Genomic DNA, 24,771 nt, shown 5'->3' with positions numbered 1-24,771 from the left:
TCATGTAACCAAACACCAACTGTATTCCAATAACTTATGAAAAAGTAAAATAATTTTTAAAAAATAAAACACACACACACACACAAAATCCAGAGGCTGGCTTTGTCGTCTTCACACTGGAGAGTGCCGTCTGTGCAGGGCATTCCGGCATACCCGGTGTTTGAGGTCTCCATGTCCGTTGTTGCATGAGCGTCCCCAACCCGCCAGCAGCCACCTGCACATTTCATTAGCTGAGTCACTCTCCTCCAGCCCATTAATCAAGCTGTTAAATACAGGACTTAACACCACGCCAAGCCACTTATCTGCTGAGGCCTGGGCTCTGGCCCCTCTGCTTCCCCCACGGCAGTTGAGGAAATCATTAACACTTCACATGCAGCCCCACTGCTCTCCTGCTCTGCACGTTAGCCAGAACTGCCCGGCCTGAGATCTGCTCCCCCAGGACCCCCAACCCTTACTCACCTCTCCCTTCTCCCCCTTTCTGCAGCAGACGTAGAGAGCCTCCACTCACACATGCCCTAGGCTTCGAGGTCAGGCCTTTGACTGGGACTTCAGTTTTACTGAGGGCTTCATGGCCTCCTTCAATATCCACTCAAATCAGTGGCTTGGAAGATACTGCTGACCCACTGTGTGATGGGCTGGTGGCTGTGTCTGCATGAGCAATTAGTCCATTGACTCAGCAGAATCACCGAATGTCCCCAGAGGGGTCTCTGTGTGGTCTGGTCCCCCATTTCAGACGAGGATCTGAGGCCCCAAGAGAGCAAGCGCTGGGCGGGGTCAGGCCTCTAGGGGCGTCTCCCGCTCCCAGAGTATGGCTTTTCCACTCGCCACAGCAGCTGCTCCCAGCCTGGCTGGCACGTGGGCCTGGCTTGTCCTTTCTAGGGCACTTGGTAGGAGCTCTACGCTTTCTCCTAAGGGTCCAGTCACAGGGATTGCCTGGTCTGGTTGCCATGGCTATGGTGGTAGATTGTATTTTCCCAGAGACAGCCACAACACTGTTGTCCATCATTGTTCATCACGTAGGTTCTTTGGAAGTTGGCTTTCTCCCTCACCCAGTGAAGGGGTGGAATGTATTTCCTCTTACCTGGCCCTGGGCTGGTCCTGGGGCTGTTTTAACCACTCGCATGCAGCAGAGAGGACGCCCGGCCGTCCCTGGCATAGCCCTTACCTGATCTGGCCATTTCCACTTCCTGCTTCTTAGAATACTGACTTCTGGTGGCATTTCCTCTCAGTGCACATCTACCATGCTGTGAGAGGCCTATGCCACGTGGAGAGGTCACACGATGGCCCCAGTGGAGCTCTCAGCTGACAGCCAAAGTCAACTGGCAGCCATGTGGAGGCACCACACTGGACGTCCAGCCCAGTCAAGCCTTTAGGTAGCCCCATTGGACTGCACCTGCAGTGAGATGCTTAAAGTGAGAGCTGTCCAGCTAATCCCCGTCAAGCCCTATGACCACAAGAAATAACTGATTGTCATTGGGAGCCACTGAGTTTTGGGGTGGCTTATTACAAAGGGTGGCTTGTTGGCCATGCTGGTGGTCAGCAGCTGTAGCCACACCAGGCAGATCCTGGTACCCGCGGTAGACAAGGCCATGCTGAAGTGAACCCAGGAGACCTGGTTCCAGCCTGGCTCAGCTACCGACCAGCGGTGTGACCCTGAGCAAGTCACTTTGCCTAAGTCTCAGTGTTCTCATCTGTTAAGTGGGGATTTGCCACTCATTTGGTATGGGTTTTGCCTGAATGTGGTCATTTGCTTATCTCGATTGCTAGAACCCTGGGTTGGTGATGTAATTTTGAGGCTGGTTAATTTTGCTTTGTTCTGTGGCCTCCCCCGGATTCTCTTCCTGGGCCAAATGAGCCACGTGGGTCCCTGGCTCAGCTTAGGGAAAGGCAGATTGGTGTGAACCCACAGCTGCATACTTCCACAGTGCTGGGTATGTGGACACCAAGGTTTCCCCATAGGAGCTCTGTCAATAGTCTGTTAATGTCTCTGGAGCTCCATTTTCCCTCCTGTGAATCTGAATTCCACCCTGCCTCTGTTCTTTTTCATGTGGAGTCCAAGCCTGCAATTATGCACTTCTGGAATTCCTTTGTTTGAACTTCTTGAAGTCCAGACTGTAGTGCTCAGCTCTGTGTGGGGAAGCTCTTGAAACGGTTGAAGTCTCCATCCTTTTTTACCTCTAGCTCCTAAGGGCTGTAGCCCCTTCTGATCAGGCAGGACTCTCATTCCATGTCCCTTCCTTGGAAAGGCAGCTGTGCAAGAGGAAAAGCCCATGGGAAGCGGGCCTGGAGACGGGGGGATCATCCTGGCTCTGTCGACAGGCCTTGGAGGACCTTTATCTATAAAGTGATGGAGTCATCAGTCCATCCCTCTGGCAAACATTTACTGAGCATGGAGTTTGTGCAAGCCACCCTGAAAGCCAGGTTCGGTGGTGGGAAAGAAAAATGCCATCCCTGTCCTCATGGCGCTTAGGCTGTAGAGGGAGTCCAGCATTCAAGAGTTCATCACCTGTGTAATCAGGACACAGAGGAGAAACACAGAGGCTAAGGGAGCAATAGGAGGTTGCTCTGACCTGGCTTGGCAGGTGCTGATCTGAGAACACCAAGGTGTGTATAGAATGGCTGGAAGTGGGCCCATACTGTAGAATGGAGGGTAGCAGAGGTCAGCCAGGTAGACCAAGCAGCATGTGCAAAGGCCCTGAGGCCTGGAGTGGCTGGAGAGGAACAGAAAGAAATGCAGGTGAGGCTGGCAGGCCGAGTCACTGGTGAGCACCTGGGGCAGCCAAGCAGCTGATTTTGGATTTTATCCAAAGAGCAATCTGATATTTTTTAGTATATTCAATTAACATACAGTAAAATTCATTCTTTGTGGTGTTTTAACAAGTGCACACTGATGAACCCACCACCACAGTCAAGATGGAGCAGTTTTATCACCCAAAATATTCCCTCCTCTGCCCTTTACTGCTGCTAACCACTAACCCGCTCTCTGCTCCTATAGTTCCGCCATTTCCAAAATGTCATATAAATGGAATTAAACAACATACAGTATAGCTTTGGGATCTGGCTTCTTTTGCTTAGCACAAAGCATTGGAGATGCCCTCGTGTTGTTCCATGGGTCAGTAGTTTGTTCTTTTTTTATTGCTGAGGGAGTGGTGCTGCCTTGTGTGGATATACCACGGGATGCTCATCTGTTCCTCAGGTGAGGCACATTTAGGCTGTATCCAGTTTTAACTGTATCCAGTTATTATGATGAAAGCTGCCATATACATTCACGTACAAGTTTTTGTGTCCATAAGTTTGTGTTTCTCCTGGGTACATGCCTAGGAGTGGGATTGCTGGATCACATGGTAGCTGCATGTGGGACCTCATTAGAAATTGCCATACTGTTTTCCAAAGCGACTGTGCCATTTTGCATCCCCACCGGCAGTGTCTAAGGGTTTCAATTGCTTCACGTCCTTGACAACACTTTAAACAGTCTTTGTAATGTTTGCCATTCTAGTGGATGGGAATGTGGTGTCCACACGCACGTGCCTGAGGCCCTCTGGGCACAAGACAAGGTCTTGTGGCAGGAAAGGCAGTAAGTAGACCCAGCCTCCAGGTGGTAAGAGACATACTACTGAGCAGAGAGGAAGGTGAGAGGAGCAGACATATTCTATTTAATAGTTTAGTAGCTTCATTTAATAGACTGGCAGGAGGGCTTCTATTTGAACACTTGCCTCAGGCCCCCAAATGGTAAAAGCAGAACTGTTTTTTATTTTCAGGAAAGGTTAATGCAGCCTTGGTTGGTTTGGGAGAGACAAGTATCTAGGAGAGAGAGAGAGAAGTGAATGTCTCAGGGTGACTTCGGCTTCCTTCTGCCTGTTCTCAAACACAGCAGGAACCTCATGTCTCTCTCCCCCCGGCTCTCTGGCCCTCGGAGGTCCACCTGCCATGACACTGCCTGGCCTTGGTGGCCATTTTTTCTGTGCTTCATGCTGGAGCAGCCCATCTAGAGGGTCTGAGGGTAGCAAGCTCTTCTGTCCACATGAGAAGCCGACCCTAACCTGGACTTGTAACAAGCCCTCCTCCACCTCCTGCCCTGGCCCAGGGGCTTTAAGTGCACTCTTTGAATCAAAGTGAATAAAAATTCAGAATTTGCAAACTCAAAATTCAGCTACGAGAGCCTGAGGTCCAACCCCACTGTGCTTGGTCTGATCAAACAACATGGGGGGAAATCACAAAGATAGGCACCTTCTCCCAGGCTCCAGAGGGCGCTGTCTCTAGAACACACTCTACAGCTTAACTGGGATTGGCTACTATATAGTTTAGCTGTGCCCCTATCCAAATCTCATCTTGAATTGTAGTTCCCATAATCCCCACGTGTCGTGGGAGGGACCCAGTGGAAGGTAATTGAATCACAGGGGCAGTTACTCCCATGCTGTTGTTCTCATGATAGTGAGTTCTCACGAGATCTGATGGTTTTATGAGGGGCTTTTCCCCTTTTGCTTGGCACTTCTCTTTCCTGCTACCACGTGAAAAAGGACATGTTTGCTTTCCCTTCTGCCATGACTGTAAGTTGCCGAAGGCCTCCCCAATCATGCTGAAGTGTAAGTCAATTAAACTCTCCTTTATAAATTATCCAGTCTTAAGTATGTCTTTATTAGCAGCATGAGAACAGATTAATGCAGCTAGTAAGACCACAAATGTAACTTCCCCACAACACACACTGCCCAACATCACCTAATTTGTTCTAGACGCTCCCATGGGCAATCCAGGTAACCGTGTATATGCAAAAGAAGATAGGTCTGCAGTGGGGGAAATGGCAGTTGTTGCTTACTTAGATTTTGAACAATGATTCCTTTCAAGGTTCTTGAGCTGTCCTCCACATCACCCCTGCTATCACCAAGAAACTGACACCTTCCGTTAATCTCCAACAAAAACAGCAGGGATTTCAAAACAAGGGGTCCGATTTTCAGCTATCCCTGACTGCCAAGTTACACTTGAGTAGGTTTGGCTCCATGGGAGACGGGGCCAGGAGTGGGCCCTGCTGCCCACAGACCAGGGCTCCCAGTCTCTGGGATAGATGTCGAGGTGGAGATCCATTTTAGGATGCTTACTCCGGCAGGATCCACATCCTGAGAAGTCCTGCTGTGACGGAAGAGCCCTGTGAAAATATCCCTTGACAAGGAGAGGGTTTGGGGAGACACATACAGCACTCAGCTGTCCTTATTTTTCAATGCCAACGATAACAAGGCTAAAGAAAAGAAGTCAGGAAGAAGCCCTACTCTCCAAAATGTTGTGGCATTGTTAAATGCATCCAATTACTATGTCGGAGCAACTCCAGAGAGCATCCCACCCACCTGTTATTTTTTCTTATATCATGCAGCTCAGGTCATGTTCTCTAAGAAAAGAATACAAAGTGTGTAATAAGAAAAACACCTTGAGTTAAGAGAAAGACAAGCACTGGAAGGCCACGTGTGGTTAGAGCAGCTCGGGTTGCTGCAGGATCGCCTTCAGCCAGGCAGAGGAAAGCATCTGAAAGCGCAACTCCAACCTCCTAGTAAAGTGTCAGTGAGATCCCAGGAGAAAGGCAAACACTGTCAGTGGCGTGGGAGAATCGAGTAACAGAAGAACAGGCATGCCAGAGCCTGGGAGGAATGGCCACCCACCTGCTGGTTTGCCCAATCCCCTTGTCTGCATGCACCTTCCTCTCTTCATACATCTAAGAATCCAACCCAGGAAAGAGGAGGGACAGACCCCAAATTAACAACTTAACCTTAAGACCCTGGAAAAGGGTCTTACTACCTTATTACCTATTACCTTAATACCTACTACCTTAAGACCCTGGATAAAGGAAGAAGAGTAAAATCAACCTTATCCATTGCAGGTGGGATTGTAAGATGCTGCAGGCACCGTAGGAAACAGTCTGGCAGTTCCTCAAATGGCTCAACACAGAGTTACCACAGATTCCACTCCTAGGTAGGCACCCAAGAAAAATGAAAACATACGTGCACATGAATACTTGTATATGTACGTATGTATCATGTTCATATGTTCATAGCATCAAAAACTACAGCAAACATTCAGCATCAGTTGGCTTCTAGCCAACTTAGTGAGATTACCTCACAGTAGGGCCTGTTTGCATCAATTCCTATAACTGGAGATATCATCACAAACTCCAAGGTATGCTAAAACGCAAGAAAAAAGAGTCTAAAAAGACAAATCAAGCATCAGAACAACAGACTTTGGAATTCTCATAGAGGGATGATTGAAATAGTAAGGGCTCTAATGGAAAAAGTAGGCAACATGCAGGAACGAGTCGGCCCCGTAAGCAGAGAAATGAAAACGCTAAGAAAGAATCAAAAGGAAATGGTAGGAGTCAGAAGCACCACAGCAGCAGTGAGGAATGCCTTTGCTGTGTTCATCCACAGACTGAGCACAGCTTAGGAAGGAAATCAGTGAGGCTGAGGAAATGTCCATAGAAACTTCCAAAACTGAAATGCAGAGAGGAAAAGGAATTTTAAAAAGCAAAGAATAATCCAAAAACTGTAAAACAATTGCAAAAGGTGTAATATACATATAATGAGAATCCCAGGAGGAGAGGAAAGAACAAAAGATCTATTTGAAGTCATAGTGGTTGAGGATGTTCCAAAGTTAATGAAGGACACAAAACCACATGTCCAAGAAGCTCAGAGAACACAAAGCAGGATAAATACCACAATGTCTACCTAGGCATATCACACTCAAACTGCAGAAAACCAATGGCAAGGAGAAAATTTTGAAGGAAGCCAGAGGTTAAAAAAAAAAAAAAAAAAGAGAGAGAGAGAAAAAGAAACACGTTACCTATAGAGAAACAAAGAGAAGAACTACATCAGACTTCTCTTCAGAACCATGTAAGTAAGAAAAGAGGAAAGTAAAGCTTTGGAAGAAAGAAACCACCAAACTAGAATTCTATGTTGAGAAAAATTATCCCTAAAACGTGAAGGAGAAATAAGGGCTTTCTCAGACAAACAAAAACAGAGGTCGGCAGACCTGCCCTCCACAAAATCCTACAAGAAATTCTTCAGGGAGAAGAAAAATCATATAGGCCAGAAATTCAGATCTACATAAAGAAAAAAGTATTAAATAAAAATAAATGAAGATCAAATAAAACTGCCTATTCTTTCCTGTTTTTAACTGGTCTAATAGGTAATGGTTTGCTCTAAGTAATAATTAATACTGCAGTTTGTGATTATAACATAGATAATTGAAATAGATGACAGCAGTGTTATAAGGGATGGGAAGGAGAAAGTGAGAATACCCTGTTATAAGGCACCTACACTGCCACGAAGCTATATAGTGTTATTTGGAAATGGACTAGATCCATTATAAACGTATGTTGCAAACTCCATGGCAACCAATAAAAAAAATTAAGTATATAATGGACATGCTAAGAAAGGAGAGAACATTTAATTATACAAAATGCTCAATTAAAACAGAGAAAGCAAAAAAAAAGAACAAGATAAAAAATGAAACAAAGAACATCTAAATTGTTAGAAAATAATTATGAACATGGTAGATATTAATCCAACTATATCAACAATGATCTCTCTTACTGTGCATGATCTAAATACACCAGTTAAAAGACAAGTGGTCAGAGTAGATTAAGAAACCAGACCCAACTATATGTTGTCTGCAAGAAAGCCACTTTAAATGTAAACACACACATAAATGAATGGATGGAGAAACGTATACCATGGTAACATTAATAAAGAGAAAGCAATAGTATCCATATTAATTTCAAACAAAGTAGACTTCATAATAAGGAAAATTAACACAGATAAATCAGGGCATTACATAATGATAAAGCGATCCATTCTCCTAACATTCCTGAAAGAGGCAAAGCTGATAGAATTATAGGGAAAAACATAGAAATCCACTAATACAGTTGGAGATTTCAACATCCCTCTTTCAGTGATTGATAGATTCCAGCAGACAGAAAATCAGTAAAAAATATAGTTGAACTGAGCTACAATTGATCAGCTGGACCTAATTGACTTTTTTTTTTTTTTTTTTGAGACATACCCTCACTCTGTCATCCAGGCTGGAGTGCAGTGGCACGATCTTGGCCCACTGCAACCTCCGCCTCCTGGGTTCAGGCGATTCTGCTGTGTCAGCCTCCCCAGTAGCTGGGATTATATGTGTGCATCACCATGACTGGCTAATTGTTTTGTATTTTTATTAGAGATGGGGCTTCACCATGTAGGCCAGGCTGGTCTCAAACTCCTGACCTCAGGTGATCTGCCTGCCTCAGCCTCCCAAAGTGCTGGAATTACAGGCATGAGCCACAGCTCCCAGCCCTAATTGATATTTATAGAAGACTTCATTCAAACACAGCAGAATAGACATTTCTCTCAAGATCACATGGAACATTTTACTCAGGTAGACCACAGTCTGGGCCCTAAAATGCACCTTAACATATATTTAAAAATATAAATCTTGCAAAGTATGTTCTCCAGCCACAAGGGAGTTAAACTAGAAATCAATAATAAAAAATAGCTGGAAAAATCCCAGAATATTTGGAAATCAAACAACACACCTCCAAACAACATATGTGTCTCACGGGTCAGAACATTGCAGATAATATGTGTTGCCTAATCAAAGAAGATCAAGATGCTTACAAGAAACAATCCTTTCAATACATCAAGAACAACATTAACTCCAGACACAACAGCAGAGATGTATAAGAAAACTCACGCTGCTATATGACAAAATACAGTCTAAGAGAAGCCCAAAAAAGAAGTTAAAAGAAGAGGTGGAACCGTTCCACAATATCCCTTGCCCAGAAGAAAAAGCAGATAGCTTAAAAGAAGGCAACCTTCTTCAGAGCCCAGGAGCGGACTGCTGAGATGAGAGCTAAACCAAACCATAATTGTCTATAAGGACTCTGAAGATAAAGACAATAAACTTGCTGACAAATAAATAAGTCAGCTAACAAATAAATAAGTAAATAACATGTGTCAAGAAGTCTAAAGAGAAATATTTTGAAATAAATGAAAACATAACTCATCAAGATGTGGGGAATGCAGGGAAAGCAGTGCTCAGAAGAAACTTGATAGTAGTTAATGCACATATTAGAAAGGAAGAAATACCTAAAATAAGTAACCTAAGTTTCCCGCTTAGGAAATTAGGAAAAGAAGAACAAATGAATTCCAAAGTAAGGAGAAGAAAAGAAATAATAAAAATTAGTGCAAAAGTTAATAAAATTGAAAACAGGAAATCAATAAACAAAATCAACAAAACCACAAGTGGGTTCTTTGAAAAGTCCAATAAATTTGGCAAACCTCTAGTCAGGCTAACCAAGAAAAAGAAGACAGAAGACATGTATTATTATCATAAACAGAAAATGATCCCCGCTGATCTCATACACATTAAAGGATAATAAAGAAATACTATGACCAACTCTTTGCCCACAAATTTGATAATTGAGATGAAATGCGTTTTATCAGAGTTTTGCAGTTTTATAAGACACAAACTAACAAAATTCCCACAAGAAGAAACAAATAATCTGAATAAGCCTATAAATATTTCTAAATGAATGAATAAATAACAATCTTCTGAAAAGACAGCACCAGACCTAGCTGGTTTCACTGATGAATTCTACCAAACATTTAAGGAAGACCTACTGCCAATTCTCTACAAACTCTTCCAGAAAAATAGGAGAGAAAAAAAATCACTCTCTAATTTATTCCATAAAGCCAACATTACCCTAATGCCAAAAATAAAGAATTACAATAAACTACAGATCAATATGTCCCATGCATAGGCACAAAAATTCTCAATAAAATTTTAGCAAATCAAATTCAACCGTGCATAACATGAATTATACATCACAATCAAGTGGAATTTATTCCACGTATTCAAGGCTGGTTCAACATTAAAAAATGTTTTAATGTAATTCATCATATCAACTGCTAAAGAAGAATGATTATATAATCATCAATTGAAGAAAAAAAAACTGTTGACAAAACCAACATCCATTCATGATCAAAGCTCTTAGTAAACTAGAAATGTAAGGGAATTTCCTCAACTTGATAAAGAACACCTACAGAAATCCAACAGCTAATACGATACTTAATGGTTAGAAACTGGATGCTCCCCCCAAAATTGGGATCAAGGCAAGGATGTCTTCTCTTACCACTATTTATAATTAACATTTTTACCAGAAGTCCTAGCTAGTGCAATAAGACAAGAAATAGAAATAAAAGATATACAGATAGGGAAGGAAGAAATAAAACTCTTTATTCTCAGATGATGTGATTATTTATGTAAATAAAGTATCCCAAAGAATCAACAAGAAAAAACCCTGGAACTAGTAAATGATTATAACAAGGTCAAAGGATATAAAGTTAATATGCAAAAATCAATTGCTTTCCTATATACCCACAATGAACAATTAGAATTTGAAATTTAAAATTAAAAAATTCATATGAGTATAAAAACTAAATACTTAAGTACAAATCTAACAAAATATGTACAAGACCTATATGGGGAAAACTACAAAAATCTGATAAAAGAAATCAAAGAAGTTCTAAATCAATGGAGATATATTTCATATTTATGGATTGAAAGGCTTAATATTGTTAAGATCTCAATTCTTATCAACTTGACCTATGTATTCAGTGCAATCCTGATCAAATTCCCAGTGAGTTATTTTGTGGACATGAATAAATTGATCAAAGCTTACATGAAAATTCAAAACCCTCAGAAGAGTCAACATAATACTGAAGAAGAACAAAGTCAGAAGACTGACACTACCCAACTTCCAGACTGACTATAAAGCTATAGTAATCAAGACAATTGGTATTGGTGAAAGAATAGACAAATAGATCAATGGAATAGAATAGACCCACACAAATATAGTCAACTTATCTTTGACAAAAGTGCAAAGGCAATTCAATAGAGAAAGCATATTCTATTCAAAAATGATACTGGAACAATTTGGCATCCATATGCAAAAAAAATCGAGATACAAACTTCATGTCTTTCACAAAAATTAACTCAAAATGGTCATAGAGCTAAATATAAAATGTAAAACTATAAAATTTCTAGACTATCACATAGGAGAAAAATCTAGGTGACTCTGGGTTTGGCAATGAGTTTTTAGATACAACACCAAAAGCACAACCTATGATAGAAAAATTAATAGTTTAGGCTTCCCTAAAATTTAAAAATTCTGCTATGCCAAAGACACTATTAAGAGAGAAGAAACAAGCCACAAACTGAAAGAAAAATATTTGCAAAATACGTAACTTATAAAGAACAAAATATACAAAGAACTCTTAAAATTCAAATCTAAGAAAAGAAACAACTCATTTAGAAATGGACAAAAGACTTGAACAGATATCTCATGAAAAAAGATGTACAGATGGTGAATTAGTATATAAAAAGATGTTCATATCCATTTGTCACTATGGAATTGTAATTAAAACAACGAGACACCACTATTCACCTGTTACAATAGCTAAAATCCAAAAATCTGACAATTTCAAGTGCTGATGAGGGTTCAGGGCAACAAGAATTCACATACATTATTGGTAAGAATGCAGAATGGTACAGCCACTTTGGAAGGCAGTTGGCCATTTCTTACAAAGCTAAATACAGTCTTACCCTAAAATCCAGCAATTGTGCTCCTAAGTACTCACTCAATTGAATTGAAAAAGTATATCCATACAAAGACCTGCACAAAAATGTTTATAGCTATCTTATTCATAATTGCCAAAAACTGGAAGAAACCAAGATGTTCTTTAATGGGTGGTTGTACAAGCAAACGGGTACATCAATACAATGGAATATTATTGAGCAACAAGAAGAAAACCACAGAACTGTGAAGACAGGGAGGGACCTTAATTGCATATTGCAAAGTGAAAGAAGCCAGTCTGAAAAGGCTGTGGTCAGTATTTCTGTAAATCTAAAACTGTTCTAAAAAAAATGTGTATTCATTTTGTAAGAAGTTTTAAAAAAAGGGGAAAAAACCCAGAAACTTTATGAGGAAGTTATAGACTTTCCGAAACAGCATTAGATTGTCCCAGGGCTTGGAACTGGAGTTTGAGTCAGTCTTGCTCAACTCCCAGGTGGCTTCTAATTCACACCACAACCTTCTGAGACTAAGCGTTGGCTTTAATGCCCAGTTGTAAATAAAAGTCTGGAAGTCTGGTTACTGCACGCCTTTTCACCCAAGAAGTCCTCCAGACGACTTCCTTCCAGCTTTCTCAAATTCAGGGCTAAGTTGTAATTGTCAATAGATTTTACAAGTCCATACCTAGTTCTGCCTTGACCATACACTCACAAGCTCATCACTAGTGGTGCAGACTGCACAGTGCTTCCTAAGGCCATTCTCCACCTGCCCATTCCGTTCCCAGCATGCATTGTGCCTGTACCACTTCCTGAAAGTCTCAGTCTCCTTGCTCTTTCACCAAAAGTTCATTTATCTGTTTTTTTTTTGTCAACCTGAAATACTTTAAAGTGTAACATACAAACTGTAAAATACAGAATTTTTTTCAATGTTTATAGACATATAGGCATAATTTATATTATTCTTTGTGAGAAAGAGTCTTGCTCTGTTGCCCAGGGTGGAGCACAGTGGTGCAATCAAGGCTCACTGCAGCCTCAACCTCCTGTGCTCAAGGGATTCTCCCATCTCAGCCTCTTGAGTAGCTGGGATTACAGGCATGCACCACCATGCCCAGTAAATTTTTTTTTATTTTTTATTTTTTGCAGAGACAGGGCTTTGCTATGTTGCCCAGGCTATTCTTGAACTCCTGAGCTCAAGTCATCCTCAAGCCTCAACCTCTCAAAGTGCTGGGATTACAGGCACGAGCCACAGTGCCTGGACAATTTATATTCTTTATATGTAATCTTAAATGCATTCATTCATCTCAATGAATTTTTACAAATGAATAAACTCCTGTAACTATCACCAAACTCAAGATACAGCACGACCAGCATTCTGGTTTTTTTTTTTTTTTTAACTTGCCAGATGGAGATAGAATGTATCTTTCTCATCTCTGTTGTTTTAAGTTTTATGCACATTTCCAATGCAGTCCCAGCATTTTCAGCGCTCCATGTCTTGACTCACTGGCGTCCATTTTAAATGTTTCCTGCTTGCTGCCTGCATTGATTCAATGTTGCTTTTTACCAAAACAGAGGAACTATAGTAAACTTCTTCAACTTAGAGCCTTCTACTAAGGGGGCTGAATTTATTAGATTGGTGCAAAAGTAATCGCAGTTTTTGCACCAACCTAAGAATTTTATGATCATGATTGCCACATGGTTTAACTTCAAAGCAATTCTGTGCTTTTTGCAGAGGGGAGCTGAGGCTTCGTGGAGTTGAAGGTGAATTTCCCAGGCAGGCGGGAGAGACTGTACTGAGAGGGCTCCCAGGGAACCCAGCTGCATTCAGCCCAGCACTGTCAGCAGTGGAAGGACTTACCTGACCACCCACAGGGGCTTGCCTTCCACAGGCATGTTCTCACACTCCAGCCCGCGTCAGACTCACCTACAAGGCTCTTCATAGCACAGGCTTCTGGGCCCTATCCCCAGGGTTTCTGATGCAGTAGGTCGTAGGGTCTCAGATTTTGCATAGTTAACAGGTCCCCGGGTGACGCTGGTACTGCCTTTGGGGGACCCCACTCTGAGAACCGCTGTGTTGCAGCAAGCTGGGTCCCAGCAGCGATGTAGGGAGGGGCAGGCTGTGCTAAGCCTCAGCTAACAGAGCGGCCGTCCACGGCTCCTTCTGTCTGAGGTCCCTACTGAGGAGGGAAGGAATTCTTCCCAGAACTCAGCAACCCAGGAGCTTTCCAGGGCTCTGGGTACCTCTTCCTGATCCGTGGTTCTGGAAGACTTGGGGTAAGAAAAGTGCCTAGGCCGCGAGGTCCTAAGGCGTCTTTATGGAGACATTGCCTGGGATCATGGCCAAGGCTCAGGCTTCAGGGGCAGGAGCTCCAGGCTGGCCATGCACTAGTTATTGACCGGGCAGGGGCAGGAGCAGTGCTAGCATGGTGCCTGGCACAGAGCAGCTGTCATACTTTGCACACGTTTTGGCAGATTTTTCTTAGATGGTGGTATGGGGGTCGTTGAAGGAGCCCTCTTGTGTGCTAAACTGGGCTTGGACCACCTCAGCTCTCCTGAAAAATGGGCAGGGACTGGGAGCCTCATGGGTGTCATACTAAGTCTGACCCAATGACTGAGACAGAGTAAACAAGGGGTGGTCTCTCTGCCCCCTGAGTTCACCCTGTTACTAAGACCCTCGTCATATTGAATTTCAACGGCCTGGTCACCCATGAAGTTCTTCAGCTGGACCGGGGTTTCTCAATCTCGACACTGTTGACACTTGGGCCTGTATAATCCTTTGCTCTGGGGGCAGGGCTGTCCTGTGCATTATAGCGTGTTTAGCGGTATCCCTGGTCTCTACCTACTAGATGCCAGCAGCAGCTCCCTGACATCAAATCACAACAGCCAGAAATGTCTCTAGACGATATCCAGTGTCTCCTAGGGGCAGAACAGCTCCAACTGGTAACTGCTGAGTTACACTGGGAGCTCCCAGGAGGGAGGAACCACACCTTCCATCCCTGCACCTCCAGGACTAGCACACAGTAGGGGCTCACTAAGGGGACATCGAATGTATCCAACCTGCCTGGTCAGATATTCAGCATTTCATGCTCATTATGACATTTGAGTCTCAAAACCACCCGTGAGGAAGACTCATGTGAGAGATGAGGAAACCGAGGCACTGCAGGTGGGACCACTTGCTCAAGATTTCCTGGCTAATTAGCAACGGAGGCAGGACTTGAACTCCATGCTCTGTGCCTGACTGATTGGCCCTAAGACCAGGGTGACACCCTCTGTCCTACTGGCTTGCTTCCTCAGCACAACACCCTCTGTCCCACTGGCTTCCACAGCACAGGAAAGGAGCTCATGCCTGTGTCTGGACTCATGGCCTCAGGCAGGTCCCAATTTCTTTGTCCTTCCCCGCAGTCTCTCCACGGGGCACTTTGAATTCTGCCAGGCACAGCCTCCCAAGTTCACGTTGCTTTTTGAGGAATGACTTCAGCACTAAAACATGTTTCACATTTAAGGTTAGGCAGGCCCTGCTTACAGCGGGAGCTTACAAGATCTCCAGCCCTTCTGGGGAAGGATATAAAAGGCTGACTTGAATGTTATGAAAGCTTAGGAAAAAAGGAATGCTAATGATCATACAAAAATAGAATGCCAAAGGAAGCTATTGCCAAACTGAAACAGGACTCAGATTCTGGGATAATGGACACATGAATCACAGCAAAGGGAAAAAAAAGTGAACTGGCGTTTCCCCTTTCATCGAAGTACTGATGATCATAAGATAAATCATGTTTGGAGAAGAATCAGAATGATTGGATTAAGTTTTACTGCAGTGTTTCTGACTAATCTTGGACCCAGGCAACCTAATTGAAAACTTACATCTGCACGGAGCTGGAGAGTTTGAACTCTCCAGCTTTAGTAACTCACCGCTGCAAGGCAGGCCCAGGCCCGGGAGTGCCTTCCTCCACATAACTGCATCGTTCTGAAGACACAGATCCAAAAACTCGATTTTCCCACTATGATTTTACCCAGAAACTTCTCTGAATTCGTAGATTACAATCAGATAATGGTCCATGACGTGAGCATCCCTTTGCCTGGCAGGCTGAAAGTCAAGATAGCCCTAGCTCCAAGCAAGCATTCCTTTTTTTTTTTAATGAGAGAAAAGAGGCAACAATTTTTAAGTGACCTTGCTGTTTGCTTTTGTGAAGTGAAGTGATCTCCCCACTGCTGCGATTTTAATAAGCCCGCAAGTTCTCCTAGGTGCCCTCCAGGGAGGAATTTCATTGTTCATCTGCACTCAATGTTCCAGAAATACCCTGCACCCATGAGCAAATCCTAACATGACTTCCAACTTGGGAGTGGAATTTGCCAAATAAATGAGCTGTTCTAACTGAATGTCCCGGGCCAAGGCTGGCTCCTGTGACGATGCTCTCTGCTGGGTCTACAGGCGGACCCTGTGGTTGACAGGCTCCCAGATGTGCACCCCTGGGCTGAGCTCTGCAGCCCAATGCCCCTCCCATCCACTGAACAGACCTGGACCATTCCAGAGGGGCCAGCTTCCCTCTGTGACCCCCAGCCTCATGCTTCCAAAGGAGGGCAGGAGATGACAGCGTGTGGGGGCACAAGGGTAGAGAGCAGACAAAACAAGAGCTCACTGAGAAATGAGGCAGAGGTGTTGTGCAGGTGCCAAGGGCCTGGGTTTTTGACTCCTACAGAGCTGGGTAGGAACCCTGGTTCTTGTCTTTCCCAGCTGTGACACCCTCAGCAAGTTACGAAAACCATGCAACCTCCAGATATCTCATCCATAAACCGGGTGTTGTCATGAGAATGGAATAACACGATGTGCTTAGTAAAATGGAATGTCAATTACATCCACATCCCTGAACAAATGAGTCCACGAAAAGCATGGTGCAAGTGGAATCTATAGTCACGTGTAAGTCTTGTTATATGCAAAAGCATTACTCCTTGCTGGGAGTCTCTCTCCACAGGACTCGATGTGCCACACAGACAGAAACAGTCCCCGTTGCCTTGTCCTTTGCACCTAATGTCACACCGACACGGAGGAGATACTCGGTAAACATTTGTTAAGGAAAGAAGAGCTTGGCACGGGTTCCCTTTTTCTTCCACCTCAACCCCAGTGCTATCCTCAGGGACCCCTCATTCCCACCTTGCTCTGCACACATCTCACCTGGCCCTGGCCCTGTGCCCTCCTGACACCTATTTGGAACATTTCCCCAACAAACTTGGTATTCCAGACTCAGAAACCGGCTGTCGGCATTGGTCCTGCCACTGTCTGCCTGCCTGCTTCCGGGCATATTGCTTCACTGCTCAGAGCCTCAGTGTCCTCGTTTGCTCTTCCATGAGACAGTCATAGTGCGGGTTTGCAGCAGACCTATGGCTCTTGAACTGTACTCCACAAAATCCCACGTGTTTCTCCCGCCAGAACCTCTGGAGGCCTCATCTCTGGGACCCCACCCTTCACATTAGCCAAGGCACCCTACTTTTTCAGTGAGCAGCTGCTGAGAAAGATATTGCTTCATTTCTAGGTGAAGTTTCGTCCCTCTGGACTGAGAGGTTCCTCCTCAATTCTATCTGTGCTGCACAGGGCCCAATTTGGGACCATGAGGGATATGAGATGTCCCAGAACGAGACCATTACTTCTTTCAGGACAAGAGGTTAATTCAGCAATGGGGAACCCTGCTCTCTGTGAAAGGCTTCCCCACATCCAGAAGCCGGCCAGGCTCATGTTTCCTTGGGTAGCGAGACCTCCAGAGAGTTTGGGTCTTTCCTACAGGACACAGGCACATGCAGAGATGCTGGTCTGTTCTAAACTACCCATTCTAGGCCAGGCATAGTGGCTCATGCCTGTAATCCTAGCACTTTGGGAGGCTGAGGCGGGAGGATCACTTGAGGCCAGGAATTTGAGACCAGCCTGTGCAATGTAGTGAGACTCCCATCTCTACAAAAAAAGAAAAGAAAAGAAAAAAGTAGCCAGAAGTGCTGGTGTGCACCAGTAGTTCCAGCTACTCAGAAGGCTGAGGCAGGAGGATGGCTTGAGCCCAGGAGTTTCAGGTTACAATGAGCTATGATGGTGCCACTGCTCTCCAGCATGGGTTGCAAAGTGAGATCCACTCTCAAAAAAAGCAAATAAATAATTTGAAAACATATTAAACTTTCCTTTCAAAACATTCACCATCTCCTGAACTTTGTCTTCACCACTGCCCTAGAACACCTTGCCTACTTCTCAGACAGAATGAGCACCGTCTTGCCCACCCTCTTGCCCACACTTCCTGTCAAGCCTTACACTATCCCCAGCAGCACCACTGACTTCATCACAAAATTGAGTGGCCACACGCCTTAGACCATGCAGGCTACCATAATAAAATACCACAGACTGAATATTTATAAACAACAAAAATTGATTTCTCACAGTTCTGGGGGCTGGGAAGTCCAAAGTCAAGATGGATTTGGTGTCTAGTGAGGGCCCACTTTCTGGCTCACAGATAGCACCATCTTGCTGTGTCCTTACTGGGTGGGTGGGACCAGCTAGCTCTCTGGGGTCTGTTTTATAAGGGCACTAATGCCACTCATGAGGGTTCTACCTTCCTGAGGCAATCACCTCCCAAGGCTGCTCTTTCTAATACCATCGCATTGGATATTAGGCTGCAACATGAAACCTACATTCAGACCACATAGATCTGGTCAATATGGAGATGGTTTTAGACTGTTTATCACTTACACTAACGGCATAAGCAACATCATCATAATGTCAGCTTTCCACATCCCTAGGATGACACCAAATTGGAGAAGCCAGATGACAGACATGAGGAGTGGGTTGCTCCATTGGGATATCTCACTCTAAAATACAACCAAGCACCTTTATAGCTGGAGCTATGCCCTAAGGGGGGCATGTGGAAAGTTTTACTTCTCACTGGAACCAGGGAAGTGGATAAGACAGTGTCTTGTGGCAGCCCCTCACAAGACAGGGAGCCTCCTATAGGACAGGGAAGTGGATGGAAAATGACCTACAGATGACCCTTACGAGACTGCCCTGCTTGCTGAATCCCAGGAAGGATCACAGAGTGTTCTGCCAAGACATGGGTCCGACTGAGGCTGAGACTCACCTACGCAGAGACGCCCAAGAGCTCCATGGGGGAGCCTTTCCCTACTCTGTCCTCCTACCTTCCTTCTCATTGAGGACAAGGTGTCTGTCCTCTTGTCTAAGGAGAAACTCACCCTTAGAACCTTGGATTTACTAAAACTCTCATTGAAAACCTATTTAATCAATGATCATCCTCTCTTCTGAATCTCCTTCCTACCCAGCCCCTTAGCCACACCTACCTTAAAAAGCACATAATCCACCAAAACATATACCTCTAAGTCTCCCCTGGCTCCTGATCCTCTCTGGTCCTTTCTGAGTGAACTCTCTGACCATCCCCTGAGTGAATCCATTCACACCGCAGGCTCCAGCTGCCCTCTTTTTGCTGGAAATGCCTAACCTGACTCCCGCCCCGTCCTCCTCCAAGCTGCTGCCATGGAACTCTTGCTGATGGAGTTTATCCACCTGAATGCCAGAAAGGCATCTCAGATCCCATGAGTCTGTGCAACAGCCGCGTCTCTGTCCCTTGAGCCTGCTGCTCTTCCTGCCTACACCTCCAAGAGCACGCTTACAGAAGCCAGAAATTCGGCAGGCAGCCTAGACATTCTTCTCTTGTAGCCCTGACATCCAGTATTTATTTAGGGCTACGCTTTGTTAATTCTTAAACATATCTCTTTTTCCCCCTGTACTTCCCTTTAGTATCACCATAGTTTTTGCATCAAGATATATAACCTCATTAACAGGTTTCTTTTGAAAGCTTAGTACTAAATATGTTTTAGTACTAATATGTACTATATACTAAAGTATTTTATTAGATAATTATTATTAGAAATAAAATGTCTGAATAGTCCTATATCTCTTTGAACGGTTTGAACTCATAACTAAGGACTTTCCCTCTAAGAAAACAGCAGCCTTAATCGTTTCACTAGAAACATATCAAATATTCAAGGAGCAAATACCACCACCCTTACACAAATTATTTCAGAACACAGAAAAACAGGAACACTTTCCAACTCATTTTATGAGGTCAATATTATCCTGCAACAACAACAAAAAACAGACATGACAAGAAAAGTACAGAACAACTTCCTTCATTAACATGAATGCAAAGATCCTTAACAAAATAAGGGTGAAAAAATTAATGAGATTTTTAAAATGACAAATATAAGATCATTTTCGCAGATAGTCCACTGATGCTTTAAGTAAGGGGCATTCTATCTTTGAAACACGTTTCAAGCTACCAATCTGAGAAGGAGTCTAAGAAAGAGAAAAAAAAGCCTCTGACATTGGCAGCAGGCTGGACACTCACAGCTCAGTCCTGGTGTTCCTTGTTGAACATAAGCAATCTTAAAGAACACAACATCAGAATGATATGGTTTGGCTGTGTTGCCACCCAAATCTCATCTTTAATTGTAGCTCCATAATTCCCACATGTTGTGGGAGGGACCTGGTGGGAGATAATTGAATCATGGGGATGGTTTCCTCCATACCGTTTTCGTGGTGGTGAATCAGTCTCATGAGATCTGATGGTTTTATAAGGGGAAATCCCTTTCGCTTGGTTCTCATTCTCTCTCTTGCCTGCTGCCACGTAAGACATGCCTTTCGCCTTCTGCCATGATTGTGAGGCCTCCCCAGCCATGTGGAACTGTGAGTCCATTAAACCTCTTTCTCTTTATAAATTACCCAGTCTCGGGTATGTCTTTATCAGCAGTGTGAAAATGGACTAATACATCAGACGAGTCCTTTCATTACCATGATAAAGTGAGGCAACAAACACCACCACTCTGGAGTCTTGTCTAAGCAGAGACAACAACAGTATCACGTGCAAAGTACCAAAACGTGCCCTTCTCCCATCTAAGAAGAATGGCAGGTGCTTCCTTACCCATCACAGCCTCATTCTGACTTTCCTCCCCTACGTAAGATTCCTTAGGTTACACAGAGAATTACCTCTGCAGAGAAAAGTCCCCCTTCCTTAAACTCTTCCCCCCAAATCACCAAGCACAAGCCCAGATCACCGTGGCATACATTCTCCTTTGTGACGCTGAGCGATAAATCCGACTTGCTTAACTATAGATGTGTACTCAGTGGTCTTCAATGCTGGAGGGCACTGAGAAATTAAACTATATTATTTTTTGTTGAAATTAAACTATATTATTTTTGTTGTTTTTCATCCACTTTGTGTGGCAAAAGCCCACGGTACTGACAGGTGACAACGTGCTAGCAGCCCTCGCTTGCTCTCGGCGCCTTCTCGGCCTCCGCGTCCACTCTGGCCGCGCTCGAGGAGCCCTTCGGCCCGCCGCTGCGCTGTGGGGGCCCCTCTTTGGGGCTGGCCGAGGCTGGAGCCAGCTCCCTTTGCTCGCGGACAGGTGTGGAGGGAGACGTGGGGCTGGTCGCGGTGCTCGTGGGCCTGCACCGGTTCTGTGTGGGCGTGGGATCAGCGGCCCCGCACTCCGTGGGGCCTGCCAATGCCGGCTGGGTTTGACTGGAAGCTGGCTCCCATGCGTGGGCCCCCCTTCCCTCTTCGCGGGGTCTTTGGCCACGATGGGGGGCCTCCGTCTCTTTCTCACTTCCCCCCTCTTCCTCTTGGTTGTCTCGAATGAGCTCCCTCTGGGCTGCCAGACTGTCTGGGTTAGGTGTGGCAAAGTCCCGCTGCAGTGCCAGAGAGCGGTGAAGCCAGCTGGGCTTCCGGCACGGGTGGGGACTTGGAGAACTTTTGTGTCTAGCTAAAGGATTGTAAATGCACCAATCAGCACTCTGTCTAGCTAAAGAATTGTAAATGCACCAATCAGCACTCTGTCAAAACGGACCAATCAGCTCTCCGTAAAATGGACCAATCAGCTCTCTGTAAAATGGACCAATCAGCAGGATGTGGGTGGGGCCAGATAAGGGAATAAAAGCAGGCCACCAGAGCCAGCAGCAGTAACCCGCTTGGATCCAGGTCTGTACGCTGGGAGCTGTATTCTTCAGCTCTGTGTAATAAATCTTAATGCTGGTCACCCTTTGGGTTAGTGCTGCTTCTCTGAGCTGTAACACTCACCGCGAAGGTCTGCAGTTTCACTTCTGAAGTCAGCGAGACCATGAACCCACTAGAAGGAAGAAACTCAGGACACGTCTGAACATCTGAAGCAACAAACTCCGGGCACGCAATTTTTAAGAACTGTAACGCTCACTGCGGGTGTCCGCAGCTTAATTCTTGAAGTCAGCAAGACCGAGAACCCACCAACTCCGGACACAGTACTTTGATATCTTTTGCTCTATTTGCGTTTTTGTGTAACCTTATATTTCTGACTACTTTAAACCTACATATTATTAAGTCAACAAAGTTTAGCACTTTTTATATTCACGGATTTTATCTTTTATTATAACGTGAACTTTTTTCCATTTGATGCTTTTCAAATACTTCTGAAGCATTCTTAAATTTTTGCTTTCTTTGTATTTGTGTCAAGTAGACGCACTTTTTCCCCACTCTTCAATTTTTTCTTTTATGTGTTAATACATTTTTAAGTGTTAATTTTAAGCAATTCCTCCTCTTCCTCGTATTTCTTGATACGGTGTTGAGCATCGATTTGCTTGGGACTGTTTGGTTCATTTGATGTTTGCAATCCTCGAAGGCACAGCTATGAGCTCCGTTTTTTGGTTGAGGTAATTAAGTAGCAGGGTAAAGACTCAACAGCTAATCAATGGCCAACTGAGATTTGAACCCAAATTTATCTGGTTGCAAAGCTCGTGCTGTGTTCCATGCTGCTTGGAGATTTTTTTTTTCCACCAAATCTGAGATTGTCGGAATTTTGATTAGAAAGAATGAAATATCTATTTATGACTATAATGCTATTATGACAAGAAATCATTTAGCCAAATTTGCCTTTGGATGAATTGTCCGTGCCAAAAGGCCTTTGTCTTTTGGGTAAATTGGCTAATTGACAAACTACCAATTAGCCATTTTATTTGTTTTAATTTCCAGCTTTCCGTACTCTGTGTCTTTTAAGTTGTTTGTGCCAGAACGGTGCTATGTGTATCAGATGCTCAGTAATTATCTGTGGAACAAGTCACTGGTCTATAATGATATTGTTGTTGTCAATCTACTTAAGAACCAAAAATAAACTCCTCTTTTAATTCCCCCTATATAGAATAAGTCGCTTTGCATGTTTCTCATTCTTCTTTAACAATCCCTGTTCTTCCTCCATCTTCTATAATTTACTCAGAAGTAAATACGCAGACTTTTATTAAGTATTTTTCTCATGTAAAGTACACTTTTCAAGTTATTTTCATCTTTGTCCTTCCATTTTATATTCTGCTTTGCTTTGGTGTATTTCCGGTTCCTCTCTAATGCTTACTAATTTCAATATCCACCTCTAGTCCTATACGAGGACTTGCTATCTGGGGGTGGTTGATTTTTATTTGCCCCTTGATGGTCTAGTGCAGGTTTGGAGAAACTCAGGAACGAGGAATAGTCGTGCAGTGTCTGAGCCTTTGCCCTCCTGAGAACTGCTTTTCAGTTGTTTTCATGCACACAGGTTGCAGTGCTCAGCCCTGCCCCATTCAGCTCTTGAGAGGCATTCTTCTGGCTCCAGCAGATTCAAGATGGGAGAGAATGGAGACGGGTCTCCAAAGCACTATGGAATGCAGTGCATTCTGTAGGTTTTTCATGTGTTTGGTCGATACAGACGCAGAACATGCAATGCTATGCCACCTCCCTGGCCCTCTGCCCCTCCTGCCTTGCCTCATGCTTTGAGGATTCCATCTCTTCTGAGTTGGAGGAGCCGCCACCTCCCAGTGCACCTCTTCTGTGTAATACTGGGTTGCACAATAGAAATCGTTATCCTCGTCTGAGTGTTGAGCTGGGAAGAGGGAGCAAGTATGGACTAGTAGGGTGGTGATTCACCTACCGTTTTGGTGACCCTGTGCTTGTAACCCATCATTGGGATAGGGCAGCACGGCTACATTAATGACTCAACCTCCTCCTATCCATTGGAATGTGAGGCTCCGCTTCAGAGGAAGAGAACACATCACCTGGAGCTGAGCTGCTCGAGCTTACCCTGCACCGTGAGAAGGCTTCATCAGCCGTTGTCCCCAGCAACCTCCACTGCTGATGGGTCTTCTACGCTTCATTTGCTAGTCACACCGCCCTCTTGTGGTGGGGCCGGGGGAGTGTGCGCACCGATTGGTTACTCGGAAGCATTCGCATTTGCTGTTTCCCTAGAAACATTTGTTAGGTGGCACAGGTGTCTCCTGTAAGTTTCAGGGGGCGTGAAACTTACAGAGAGCATATTCTCTCCTCAGACCCTCTCAAGCTTAAAAGGCTTTGTTCGGTTCATCCCTTTCATTCTCTGTTGAGGAGACCGAGGCCAAATCACCAAAGCATCTTGCTAAAGCCTTTAAATGTCCACATCAAAACCCAGGTCACTTTTCCAGGGTTCTTTCCCTTTACATACAACCTGCACCTAATCACAAGAATTGTTTCTGCCATTTAGATTTGGTGTGGCATCCAAGAAAAAACTTTCCTGAAGGGATTAGGATTCCAAATGTTTGGAAATACGCAGCAATTTGGCGTCTTCTGTGCATAATTGCAGTCTCCAGGCGACAGGCCGGGGCGCCGGGATGTGTGAGGACCAGGCTGCCCCACCCCCATGTGGATGTGTCTGTCCATGATGGGCGTCCGCCAAAGCCTCAGCCTCTGCTGAGACCCAGACACATAGGGACCCTACAGGATGAGGACGTGCAGCCCAGGCAGACACCAAAACATGCTCAGTTTCTCCAGTGCCACAAAAACTGCTCCTTTAGCAAATTCAACCTATCCTGCACATTAAGCTTTCGATACTTTTAGCTGTTGTCCTGTTTTACTAAATGTTTTAGCATTGCTGAGCCAAACCCACACATCTCCATTGTTTAGAATCTGAGCAAGAGAGGCAGAGGCCTAGATTCTTCAGCAGTTCTAGAAACTGGAGAGTTCTCAAAGCTTCAAACAATAACCTACATACTGCAAAACGTGTGAATGTGTACAAACCAATTTGTTAATTAGAATATTGCCTTAGGGTCAGGCATGATGGCCCACTCCTGTAATCCCAGCACTTTGGGAGGCCAAGGCAAGAAGATCGCTTGAG

At 44.3% G+C, this 24,771-nt stretch overlaps 1 long non-coding RNA gene across 2 annotated transcripts, besides 1 other annotated feature; it reads right to left on the bottom strand.

Annotated features, from left to right (window-relative positions):
- Positions 1-24,138, bottom strand: LINC01937 (long intergenic non-protein coding RNA 1937). 2 transcript variants are annotated; one of them, XR_924050.2, is made up of 3 exons: positions 23,706-24,138; positions 460-3,801; positions 1-214 (listed from the first exon to the last, which is right to left on the bottom strand). It is a non-coding gene; the product is annotated as a long intergenic non-protein coding RNA 1937 (long non-coding RNA). The 2 variants fall into 2 exon arrangements; XR_007088244.1 differs by lacking the exon at positions 23,706-24,138 and having other exon boundaries at positions 460-4,375.
- Positions 13,164-13,663: an enhancer, noted in NCBI's record as "H3K4me1 hESC enhancer chr2:239639105-239639604 (GRCh37/hg19 assembly coordinates)". NCBI's record gives its function as "activates a minimal SCP1, AML or CMV promoter by ChIP-STARR-seq in naive and primed H9 embryonic stem cells {active_cell/tissue: H9 hESC(naive and primed)}" and the evidence as "EXISTENCE:reporter gene assay evidence [ECO:0000049][PMID:30033119]".
- Positions 24,139-24,771: the final 633 nt, after the last annotated feature.

Source organism: Homo sapiens, chromosome 2, assembly GCF_000001405.40.
Source record: "Homo sapiens chromosome 2, GRCh38.p14 Primary Assembly".
NCBI lineage: Eukaryota > Metazoa > Chordata > Mammalia > Primates > Hominidae > Homo > Homo sapiens.
This window is presented reverse-complemented; position numbering and strand designations above follow the sequence as displayed.